This window comes from Homo sapiens, chromosome 8, assembly GCF_000001405.40.
Source record: "Homo sapiens chromosome 8, GRCh38.p14 Primary Assembly".
NCBI lineage: Eukaryota > Metazoa > Chordata > Mammalia > Primates > Hominidae > Homo > Homo sapiens.
In genome coordinates, this window is record NC_000008.11 from 6,764,949 (window position 1) to 6,776,600 (window position 11,652).

Genomic DNA, 11,652 nt, shown 5'->3' on the forward strand with positions numbered 1-11,652 from the left:
CTGTTCTCTCCAACATGGTTTTTATTCCTGCACCCACTCTCACTGGCTCGTGGATAGATTTTGGTTCCTGGTGTATTTTATGACTTGACTGGCAGCTCCAGTCTGACATAAAACTGGCAATAGAACTTAAACTGAGCTTGGCCTCAGAGTGGTACAGTGAACAACGACATTGTTCTGAGGGTCAGGAGATCTAGAGTTGCGGTCGGGTCCCAAGTATGTAGCAGTGGGTCTCTTCTTTCTGGACTGCAGCGTCCCCTGGGACGTGGCTGCTAAAGACCTTCCCATCCTACAGTTTCATTCTGCATGCTGTTCCCCGGTGTTGTGCCAGCCACCTGGGCCCAATGCCTGGGGGTATCTTCAACCACCCCTACCACCTGTCTCTCTAAGCAAGTCTACTTGGTGGTTTCTTCATCCACCTCCATCTGCTTCCCCTCTATCTTCACCCGCTCAACACCCTCCCCACCCCCAACGTCCATTACCACTGAGCTCAAGGCAATGCAGCCAACAGCTTCCCCAGTTGCTCTGTTAGGACCTGTGAGCCACAAACCCACCCTCCACATCAGCACTTCCTAGTAGGGCAGCCGGAGCCCCATGTGGCTATAGAGTCCTTGAAATCAGAGAAGTTAGTGTACAATGCCAGACTTGGAAAAATAAGTACAAAAAATAAAATAGTTCATTAATCTTCATGTTGATTACATATTTGAGTGATATTTTGGACATATTGTCCTCAATAAACTATATTAAAATTAATTTGACCTTTTTTTAATGTGGCTACTAGAAGGTTTAATATTCGCTATATGGCATTATATCTCCACAGGGCAGACCTGATGTACAAGATGACTTAAAGGCGAGGAACTTTCACCCCAACCTTTGTGTCTCAAAACTGCCGTGATTCCTGGCACTGATTAGGCAATCAGCAACAGTTTGTTTAACTGATTCAGTAGGCATAATTTGAGATAACATTTTAGGGTTACCTCAATCATAGTTATATCATTAAGTATCACCTGAAGATTATTTTATTTTATTTCATTTTATTTATTTTATTTATTTTATTTTATTTTATATTTTTGAGGCGGAGTCTCTCTCTGTCGCCCAGGCTGGAGTGCAGTGGCGCGATCTCGGCTCACCTCAAGCTCCGCCACCCGGGTTCACGCCATTCTCCTGCCTCAGCCTCCAGAGGAGCTGGGACTACAGAGGCCCGCCACCACGCCCGGCTAATTTTTTCGTATTTTTAGTAGAGACGGGGTTTCCCTATGTTGGCCAGGATGGTCTCCATCTCCTGACCTCGTGATCCGCCCGCCTCGGCCTCCCAAAGTGCTGGGATTACATGCGTGAGTCACCGCCCCCGGCCCACCTGAAGATTTTCTAAAGCAATTGTGTTTGAATTTTATAGTCCGAAGTCAATAGATTATTTTAAAAAGTAAATGGCATAATCAATAAACATTTAATAAATGATATGGAAGTTACGATTTCAAAGAATATTCCAGGAATTCTTGGAGTTCAAGAAAAAGCACAATCAAAAAATAAGATCTGAAGCAAATATGAGAATATTGAAATGTGTTCATTCTGAATTGGCCTTATACTGAATACTATGTTATACTATTCTCTGGGTTTTTTGGTTTTGTTTTGGTATATTTACATTTTTTTCCGAATTAAAAAATTTTGTCAACTAGGCATATCAGTTATTTTGTCTAAAAATATTCTGAGCGGATTCCATACCGTATTATGGTTACTAATTAAATATGTCACCACTCTTCTTTGATCACTAATTCAAGTATGGGTGGAATCTGTCTAAAGCTTGTAATCTTCAAGGAATTGTAAAAATCCTCCTGTTTCTTACTGGTGTATTTCAATGAATGTAATCAATTAATGGTACTGTGATTCCAAATAGTAATTACTGAGAATATCTGTTTGCTCTTGCATCTGCTTATAATGAAGAGCTAAATTTTTGTTGCTTCTGTCTACTCCTTTCATTCTTCCCAAAGGAAATTACTTGGGATGAACTGTGTTGAAAGACAGCGCGTTTATAGTGGCCTCACAAGTCACCTAAAGAAAGAAGCCAGAGCGATCGATGGCATTTTCTCATCTTCCTAGCCCACATCTTTAGATTAAGGTGCTATAAAATCCGAAGGAAGGGATTGAAACGGCCTTTGCAAAATTATGACTGAGACAGTGAAATAGATCGGACTTAACTGACTTCATCTTGCTTCTAACCTCTAAGCTGTCCTTGTTCATTCCTGAGCCCAGGCTGAATTAACTTTGGTAGAAACTTAGTTTATAGTTTAAACAAAGATGGTAACAGCCCTTTCCCAAAGCAGACCTCCTTCTTGCCTGGGGACTAGATTGCCTTTGTAGGACTAACTTAGCCACAAGATTAGAAATTATGGTTTAGGAGTCACGCAGCTGGACCCCTACAAGAGTCTGACCCTCCCTAAACTGCTCCTAAGATCAATGCTTGAGATATTTTGCAGACCTTGAACTTGATGGGTCAGCTGGCCCCACCCAGATCAACAAACTGGCTCATCTGATCTTGTGACCCCCACTGAGGAACTGACTCAGCGCAAGAACACAGCTCGACTCCCTAGGATTTCATCTCTGACCAATCAGCACTCCTGTATCACTGGCTCCCCGCGACTCACCAAGTTATTCTTAAAAACTCTGCTCCCCAAATGGTCAGGGAGACTGATTTGAGTAACGATAAAACTCCGGTCTCCGGCAAAACAAACAAACAAACAAACAAAACCCTAAAGTGTGCCAACAGCAAAAGAACAAGCTGAGCTACTTTAGCAATGTCGCAGTTGGTAATTCCAAGATGTGCACAGGAAAAAAAAAATAATTCTCCCTGTGTTGTTAAAAGAATGCTCTTGAAATTAGCTGGGCATGGTGGTGTGTACTTATAGCTACTCCTGAGGCTGAGGCGGGAGGATCACTGGAGCCTAGGAGTTCGACGTTGCTGTGAGCTATGATTGCTCCACTGCACTTCAGCCTGTGCAACAGGTGAGACCCCGTCTAAAAAAAAAAATAATGCTCTTGTAATCTAGGAAATAGTTTTGGCCCTTTAGGTTAGGAATAATAGTCACGTGTAAGATAAATGTCTAAATAGTTCAGTGTAGTGATACAACTGGGAACAGACTTGGAGGAAGCCTCAGAGAGGGAGTTGAGCACAGTGGGCTTCACCATACAGAGGAGGAAACCACAATGACTATAGCAAGAGGAAATATCATGACTTCATAAATATAAATATCTAACACTGGAGGTGTAGAGGTGGGAAGCGGTAGAGACAGAAGGGTGACCATCATGTGACTTTATTATAAGGAGTATTTTATTTATGTATAAAAGAAATACAGTTGGGCCAGGCACGGTGGCTCACGCCTGTAATCCCAGCAGTTTGGGAGGCCAGGGCGGGCAGATCACCTGAGGTCAGGAGTTCAAAACCAGCCTGACCAACATCATGAAACCCAGTTTGTACTAAAAATACAAAATTAGCTGGGCATGGTGGCGCATGCCTGTAATCCCAGATACTTGGGAGGCTGAGGCAGGAGAATCACTTGAACCCAGGAGGTGGAGTTTGCAGTGAGCCGAAATCGTGCCATTGCACTCCAGCCTGGGCAACAAGAGTGAAATTCCATCTCAAAAAAAAAAAGAAAGAAGGAAGGAAGGAAGGGAGGAAGGAAGGGAGGGAGGGAGGAAGAGAGAGAGAAAGAAAGAAGAAAGAGAGAGAGAGAAAAAAAGAAAGGAAGGAAGGAAGGAAGGAAAGAAAGAAAGAAAGAGAGAGAAAGAAAGAGAGAAAGAAAGAAAAAGAAAGAAAGAAAGAAAGAAAGAAAGAAAGAAAGAAAGAAAGAAAGAAAGAAAAAGAAAGAAAGAAAGAAGGAAAGAAAGAAAGAAAGAAAGTTGACCTTTGTGCAATGCTAGGGTTAGGAGGCCCAATCTCCCATGCAGTTGAAAATCCTCATTAAACTTTTGACTCCCCAAAAACTTAACTACTAATAGCCTACCGTTTTCCAGAAGCCAATGACATAAATAGTTGCTTAAGACATATTTTGCATGTTACATGTATTACACACTGTATTCTCACAGTAAAGGTAGAAAAAGGAAAACGTTATTAAGAAAATCATAGGGAAGAGACAATATATTTACTATTAAGTGGAAATGGATCATCATTAACGGTCTTCCTCCTCATCACCTTTGTGCTGAGTTGGCTGAGGAGGAAAGGGAAGAGGGAGGGGTTGGTTTTGCTCTCTCCAGGAGTGGCAGAGGAGGAAGAAAATCTATGTCTTAGTGGACCTTCACAGTTCAAACCCGTGTTGTTCAATGGTCAGCTGTATATATAGAATAAATCTTATTTCATATATTTGAAGTATATCTCATATATGTGTTTGTGCATGCATGTGTGTGTGTGTGTATATATATATATATATATGACTTTCAGTTGATAATAATTTTTCAGACAATGCTGAATTGCCTCTCTGCCCATCTCCAGTGTTAAACCCAGGATCTAGGTGGTCATCTTGGAAGTATCCCTCGTGTTTTATTGGTGGCTGACTTCCGACTCTAGGTACTCAGTGACACAATGACATCTTTTTTAAAAAATTCTTCTGGGCACATAGTAGATGTATATATTTACAGGGTACATGAGATGTTTGGATACAGGCAGGTAATGTGAAACAATCATGTCATGGAGAATGGGTATCCACCTCCATAAGTGTTTGTATCCTTTGAGTTACAAACAATCCAATTTTAAATTTTAAATAAAAAATTTAAATTTAAAGTTATTATTGAGTATAATCACCCTATTATGCTATCAAATAGTAGATCTTATTCATTCATTCTATTTTTTAATACCCATTAACCTTCCCCACCTGCCATTCAACCCCCATCTACCCTTCCTAGACTCTGGTAACCATCCTTCTTCTATCTCCAGGGGTTCAATTGTTTTAATTTAATTTTTAAATCCCACAAATAAGTGAGAACATATGATGTTTGTCTTTCTGTGCCTGGCTTATTGCACTTAACATAATGATATCCAGTTTCATCCACGTTGTTGCAAGTGACTGGATCTCATTTTTCATGGCTGAATAGTACTCCACCATGTATACGTACCACATTTTCTTTAACCTTTCATCTGCAATATTTAGGTTGCTTCCAAATCTTAGCTATTGTGAACAGTGCTGCAGCAAACATAGGAGTGCAGGTATTTCTTCGATAGACTGATTTCCTTTCTTTTGGGTATATACCCAGCACACAATGACATCTTTAACCAAACTCTTGTGGCCTCAGAGTTAATTTGGAGGCAGCTGAGTTTGAGATAAATGGCATATCCTTTGTGTTCCATAATTTCCATACATGCCCAATTACAATCTTTCTGAACACTTTCTAGAAATCATATTAAAGCATTACATGCATCTCATGCCATGTCCATCTGTCTCTCCTGGACTGGGACAGTGATAGGTCTTCATATAATCTTGTTTAATAAGTGTTAGGTTGGTGCAAAAGTAATTATGGGTTTTGTCATTACTTCCAATGGCAACAACTCCAATTACTTTTGCACCAACCTAATATTTTACAGTTGACAAAATTCTCAGAGCATCAGCCATACCCACATTCAAATAAAAGCTGCATTAAAAACAGATTAGCAATCATTTGGTGAGTATTCACTATTCAATAGATAATGTGCAAGGTTCTCTGCCTTGCTCTACCCAGATGCTACTTTAATTCTCACAAAAGCCCTTTGAAGTAGATAGGGGTCCCCCAATGCCCTACCATGAATGCTTATTACCTTTTAAAAATCTCATCATTAGCCAGGCACGGTGGCTCACGCCTGGAATCCTAGCACTTTGGGATGCCGAGGTGGGCAGATCACCTGAGGTCAGGAGTTCAAGACCAGCCTGACTAACATGGTGAAACCCTGTCTCTACTAAAAATACAAAAATTAGCCCGGTGTGGGGGTGCACACCTGTAATCCCAGCTACCCGGGAGGCTGAGGCAGCAGAATCAGTGGAACTCGGGAGGCGGAGATTGCAGTGAGCAGAGACCACCACGCCACTGCACTGCAGCCTGGGCGACAGAGCAAGATGCCATCTCAAAAATAATAATATTGAATAATAAATAATAACAATCTCATCATCCAAAAGCAGAACTGGGTCCTAGGAGACACCTGACTGTTGCTTTGGTGCCACATAAGAGAAATGAAGTGTGTCTGTGGGGGCTGGGAGCAGAGAGCCTTCTCTTCCGGTGCTGGGAGCCATGGTTTCCCCAGTTCTCCCCCTGTGGCCTCCCATGGGGTGGGGGACGGGATGGGGTTGAGGGTTGAAAGGAGTAGAGATCCTTAACAGCGAGGTAGAGTGGATGGATGGGTGCTGGGTCCTCCCCACGTCACTTAGGAAAGACACATGGTGCTTTTTTCACTGGTTTCAAAAACTGAAGGCAGCTGTGCCCCATGGGCTGAAGAACTTAAATCTGAGAACTCGATGTCACTGGCGGCAGCTCCCCCAACTTGAGTGAACCTGTTTTCTCACCCAAGAAACATTTGAAGATGGGGAAAACCTGCTTTGCAGAGGTTGTTGTGGGGATTAAGTCAAACAGTGTGACACCCTGGGCAAAGACCAGCACACAATCTTGTGAGAATTTACGTAGGGTATGGTAGTGGTTAGGAGAAATCAGCAACAGAGAAATCAGTAATCCTTTACTTGCTGCAGGTGACTGTGCAGATTAAATGAAGTGTTGTACAAGGACAGAGCACAACTGCCCAGCACATAACGGGTGCTCCATAGACGCCCTCTCCCATCTTCATAACACAATTTTTTTTTTTTTTGAAACAGAATCTAGCTCCATCACCCAGGCTGGAGTGCAGTGTCACGGTCTTGGCTCACTGCAACCTCTGCATCCCAGGTTTAAGCAACTCTCCTGCCTCAGCCTCCCAAGTAGTTGGGATTAGAGGCTCCCGCCACCACACACAGCTACTTTTTGTATTTTTAGTAGAGACTGGGTTTTGTCATGTTGGCCAGGTTGGTCTCGAACTCCTGACCTCATGCGATCCACCCACCTCAGCCTCCCAAAGTGCTGGAATTACAGGTGTGAGCCACCGCACCCGGCCCGTAACACAAATCTTAAAGTCTTTTTAGGGGCTATAAACTCGAACCACTTCCTAGGGAGGTGGATGTTCTTGCTTTTGCTAGAAAAGCCAATGGCTGATGTGGGAGGAGTTAAAAAGAAATTGAGAAAATGACTTCTGTCCAGGTTTGGGGGAAAGGTCTATTTTACAGACCTGCACTCTATTCTGCTTCCATGGTCTCATGGGCCGGTAGGGGAGGACTGGGGTGCTAGGAGCAGGCACCTTTGCCTCTGGCAGTTATACCCCTGGGAATGGAGAGGGAGAGACTGAGAAATCAGCCCAGCACCGCCCTTTCCGGCCTCACACATCCAAGCCCTCACACATGGGGCACGAGGCTCTGTGCCTGGCCAAGCCTCAGTTGTTAGGCCCAGTTAGTGCTGAGGATCCAGAGGCTCAGGGAAGCCCAGGGAGTGGCGCAGGTCACCCCACAGGGAAGCGACAGAAGCGACTCTCATTTGTCTGACAGCAAAGCCCAGATGTCCACCCTTTACATATACGTAATATGGGACAGGTTCTGGCTCTGTGGCCTAGGCTGGAGTGCAATGGTGCGATCACAGCTCACTGCAGCCTTAACTTCCTGGGCTCAAGCGATCCTCACACTTTAGCCTCCTGAGTAGTTAGGATGACAGGCGCACCCCCCATGCCTGGCTGATTTTTGCATTTTTTGTAGAGACGGTGTTTCACCATGTTGACCAGGCTGGTCTTGAACTCCTGGCCTAAAGCAGGCCGACCATCTTGGCCTCCCAAAGTGCTGGGATTTCAGGTGTGAGCTGCTGCGCCTGGCTGTTCACCTTTATATTATTATTGCCCCACATGCTTGAGGCCACACTAAGCAGAAAGCCAGCTCTAAAGACTGAAATGACAAGGGTAGCCTAGAGTCACAGGGGTAAAAGAAGCTCCTGGTATTTTATTTTGAAACCATAGAAGATGAGAAAAGGCCTAGCTAACGGACAAGATCAGACACCCGAGGTTTCTCATTAAGCGTGACCTGAAAGCCTGTCTGGACAGCCGCAGATGAGGAGCAGCGCCTGCGTTCATCCACGCTGGGTGAAAGGTAAGAATTCAGGGTTACATGCGTGAAGGGGAAAGCAAGCGGGAAGCCCTTAGCATTCAAGCCCCTGAGCTCTGGTGTTGTCCACCCCTGGGGGCTGCCTGGTGGCAGGACGGCACTTCACGAGGGGAGATGGACCCCAGTGGGAACCACACTCAATCCCTCTACGCCCAGGCCGCTGTCAGACACTGGAGTCCTCCGCACAGTCCTGCAGCCGGAAGCACACGCTGCCAGTATCCCCTCCCTCCCACTCCCAGCCTACAGACAAGCGCATCTCTGCTGCATTCATCGCCGCACACGCCCTAAAAATGTCCTCACGTGAGTCTGTGCCAGCCTGCGCGCAAACCGTGAGCCCACCGCGCTGTGTGCACGCTCAGCTTCCCCCAGGCTGCGTCCCTCCCCCGTGGGGTCGCATTCCCTACTGGGAACCACTGCCTTCAAGCTGGAGCTCGGTCCCAGCTAGAAACACCCCCACTCCTTCTAATGGGGCAGTAAAAAAGCAAAACTAGCTCTGTGGAACGGTCTCTTTCAGATGTGCTTCCAGTCCCCTGTAAAACGTGTCAGCTCCATTTAGGTGAGGTCATGTTCTCTGGGGGCAAGCTCATAAACTCACGGCCGATGCAGCATCCCGGGGATCTCTGCGGGGGCCTGGACAGCCTGTCCCCACCTCCTGGAGGCCAGTCAGAGTCCGGGCAGCCCACTCCCTGGTCTCACAGGACCTGAGTCATGGAGCAGAGAGAACCTGCAGAGAGACTTTCCCATATGGAGGCTGAGGCTAGAGAGCATGAGAGCGTGGCCCTGGGCTCACCTGGTTAGAGGCAGCATGGGGTCCTCTGCAGGTCCCCAAGGCCTCAACCAGGCCTGGGGGCGGTGGGAGCAGCTCACTGATGATGAGGAACCAACTTCAGTGCCTGATGCTGTAGCAGCTGAGTCACAGATAAGCAGGCACTGGCAGCTGGCACATGCCCAGACCAACCCGACCCAGCCCAGCCCGGGCAGCGGCAGTGAGAGCTGCCAACCCCCACAGCTGCCCCTGTCTCTCACCTGCAAGCCCTGCCTGCCCCTGCCACTAGCGTGGAGCCTGTCTTCTGGGGAGGCCGGGGCAGTCCTGGTGCTTGTCATCTCTTGCAGCAGCTGCCTGGGCTGGGCTGAGTTGGGCTGGGCTGGCCTGTCTTCCTGCCATGGCTGGATATTTATATTAAACTTGAGGAAGGGAGAAAGGGGATTTACAAGGCACACTCAATTCTTTCTAACTCTAAGGTCCTGGCCTTGTCTATGTCCTTGTGGAGGGGCGATCTTGGCCAAAATCACTGTCCTTCGAAGGTCAGCATGTGCTTGGTGTCTTCCTGAATAAAGGGAAGGACATGCTGATGCCTCTTCCCCAGGCTGAAGATCTTTGGATGGTTAAGAAACTCCTGACCACACTCTTGAAAGCCGACATGCTGGCTGCCATCAGCAGCACCCCTTGGGCCTGACCTCCAAGCCACAATTAATCCTGCAAGCTATGACCCAGAGTATTGATGTCCTCACATTCCCAGATTAGCGCCCCCACCCATATCCCTAGCACCGACTCTGCCCCATGCCACCTGAGCCATGATTCCAGCCCTCAGCACACAGGTGCACACGCTGCCTGGACAATGGCCAGAGAACTGCCACAGGTCACACTGTGTCTCACGGCTTCTCACTTCCGTAGAGAAACCGGAAGACAGGTCTCAAACCAGACCTGAGGCAGCAGCAATAGCCACAGCAATGAGTGGTCATAGCTCAAATGCCTACTGCACCCCAGCCTGCCACCTGCCTTATTTAACCCTCGCAATTGTATAGAGTTGGCGTCACTATTCCCACTGCACAGAAAAAGAAACAAAATCCCAGAACAGATAGAAGATGCCCAAGGTCACAGACCTAACCATTAGAAGTGCTGCCATGTGAGCATAGGTGTAATTGTCTACGGAGCTCTAGAAAACAGATGAACTAGCAGGAAGGGTCACTGCAGGCCGGGACAACACCCAGGGAAAGGCCTCACTATGGCTGGGAAGAGCGCGGTGTGTGCGTCTAGCAGGAGTCCAGGTGTGGGGCAGGAGAGGCCGCTTGGGGAAAGGGAGCGACCACACACTGGGTCCTGCCTCATGTGCACCTGGCCATGTGTCGGCACTTGGTGTCGTTATCCTGCCCGCTCCTTACGAGAACCCTGTGAAACAGAAACTCCTCCTGATTTTACAGCTGAGGCCAAGGAAGCTCACACATCACAGATTAAATAATCGATTCAAAGTTACTGAAAGAATAGGAGAGTCCAAATCTATTTGCTTAATCCCCAGACCAGGGCTTTCTGCACGTGCCTCAGAGCCTTTGGTGCAGCTCCAAAGGGAGGCATCGAGAAACACCACCGGCTGGAAATGTGGCTCTGCTCCCGATCTTTGTCTGCGTTGGCGAGACACCGGCCGCTCTGGGCCGGAATCTCTCATCTACGAAAAAGTGGGTAGATGGAGACCACCCTCACGTTCCCTTCCAGCTATAGAAACAGTAACTTCCAGTCCTTAACTCGATGCTGTGTGGGTGTGTGGCTGAAACTGCTCACAGAGCAAGCTGGACAAGCGGACCTGGATTGAAACCCGCCCCTCCCTGGAGAAACAGGGGTGGCCTCCCTCCCCCATGGCAGGGACCTGCTGGGCAGGACTGAAGCCTGGCTCCTGACAAAGATTCTATTCTTCTCGATGCTTTCTCATTGTTCTTTGTGTTTACAAAGTGTCTTCCTTCAAGGGAACAGTGACTTGGACAAGCAGTGCCGAACTCTGAAGGCGCAGGGCTGTGATGGCTGCAGCCTCTTGCAGTGTTTCTCGGTGTCTTTCCTTGGGTTCCAAAGCCCTTACCAGGCAGGCTTCTGGACAGTGAGTGGGAGTTGGCTCTGTTGTTATTTGCCACAGGTGACATCAGGGTAAAGGATGGATTTGGGGTGAGCCGTGAGTAGGCTATTATCCACTGCACTTGAGGTGTGAACCTCCTGGTCCCCCTCAGCAGGTCCTGGCTTGTTCATGGAATGGAGGAGTCTGGGAAGGCGCTGAGAGGCATCCGCTAGGGAACCTGTTCCACCTGGGTGCTCAGACCCTGGCAGGAGCCCTTGCTGAAGTCCAGAGAGCCCCTGGCTGTCCCCTCTCATGACACTCAAAATCTGCCGGAGCCTGCAGCCCAGCCCTGCCCAGCACCCTCTTATGGCACTCAAAATCTGCCCGAGCCTGCAGCCCAGCCTTGCCTGGCAGAGCCCAATCCACAGATCTTCCTGCCCTCAACCTGCCAGTTAACAAGTTAGCCCTGTTTTCCAGGGCCTGAAGCTGTTTAGCAGAAGTAAAAAGGCCTTTAGGCTGACCAAGTAAACATGTGCAAAACACATCCCTGTGCCAGGTGGTTCTGGGGTCATGGAGATTGTTACGGGCTGGATTCGGTCCTCCTAAAATTCTTCTGTTGAAGTCCTAACCCCTAATACTCAGAAGGAGAT

The 11,652-nt window shown here is 47.4% G+C and overlaps 4 annotated features.

Annotated features, from left to right (window-relative positions):
• Positions 2,486–2,736: a silencer, noted in NCBI's record as "fragment chr8:6624955-6625205 (GRCh37/hg19 assembly coordinates)". NCBI's record gives its function as "represses an EF-1alpha promoter that drives an FKBP-Casp9 reporter gene in an ReSE screen in phorbol 12-myristate 13-acetate-treated (for megakaryocytic differentiation) K562 erythroleukemia cells {active_cell/tissue: K562(+PMA)}" and the evidence as "EXISTENCE:reporter gene assay evidence [ECO:0000049][PMID:32094911]".
• Positions 6,132–6,191: an enhancer, noted in NCBI's record as "active region_26959". NCBI's record gives its function as "activates an Ori minimal core promoter by ATAC-STARR-seq in GM12878 lymphoblastoid cells {active_cell/tissue: GM12878}" and the evidence as "EXISTENCE:reporter gene assay evidence [ECO:0000049][PMID:35858748]".
• Positions 6,302–6,411: an enhancer, noted in NCBI's record as "active region_26960". NCBI's record gives its function as "activates an Ori minimal core promoter by ATAC-STARR-seq in GM12878 lymphoblastoid cells {active_cell/tissue: GM12878}" and the evidence as "EXISTENCE:reporter gene assay evidence [ECO:0000049][PMID:35858748]".
• Positions 9,174–9,674: an enhancer, noted in NCBI's record as "H3K4me1 hESC enhancer chr8:6631643-6632143 (GRCh37/hg19 assembly coordinates)". NCBI's record gives its function as "activates a minimal SCP1, AML or CMV promoter by ChIP-STARR-seq in naive H9 embryonic stem cells {active_cell/tissue: H9 hESC(naive)}" and the evidence as "EXISTENCE:reporter gene assay evidence [ECO:0000049][PMID:30033119]".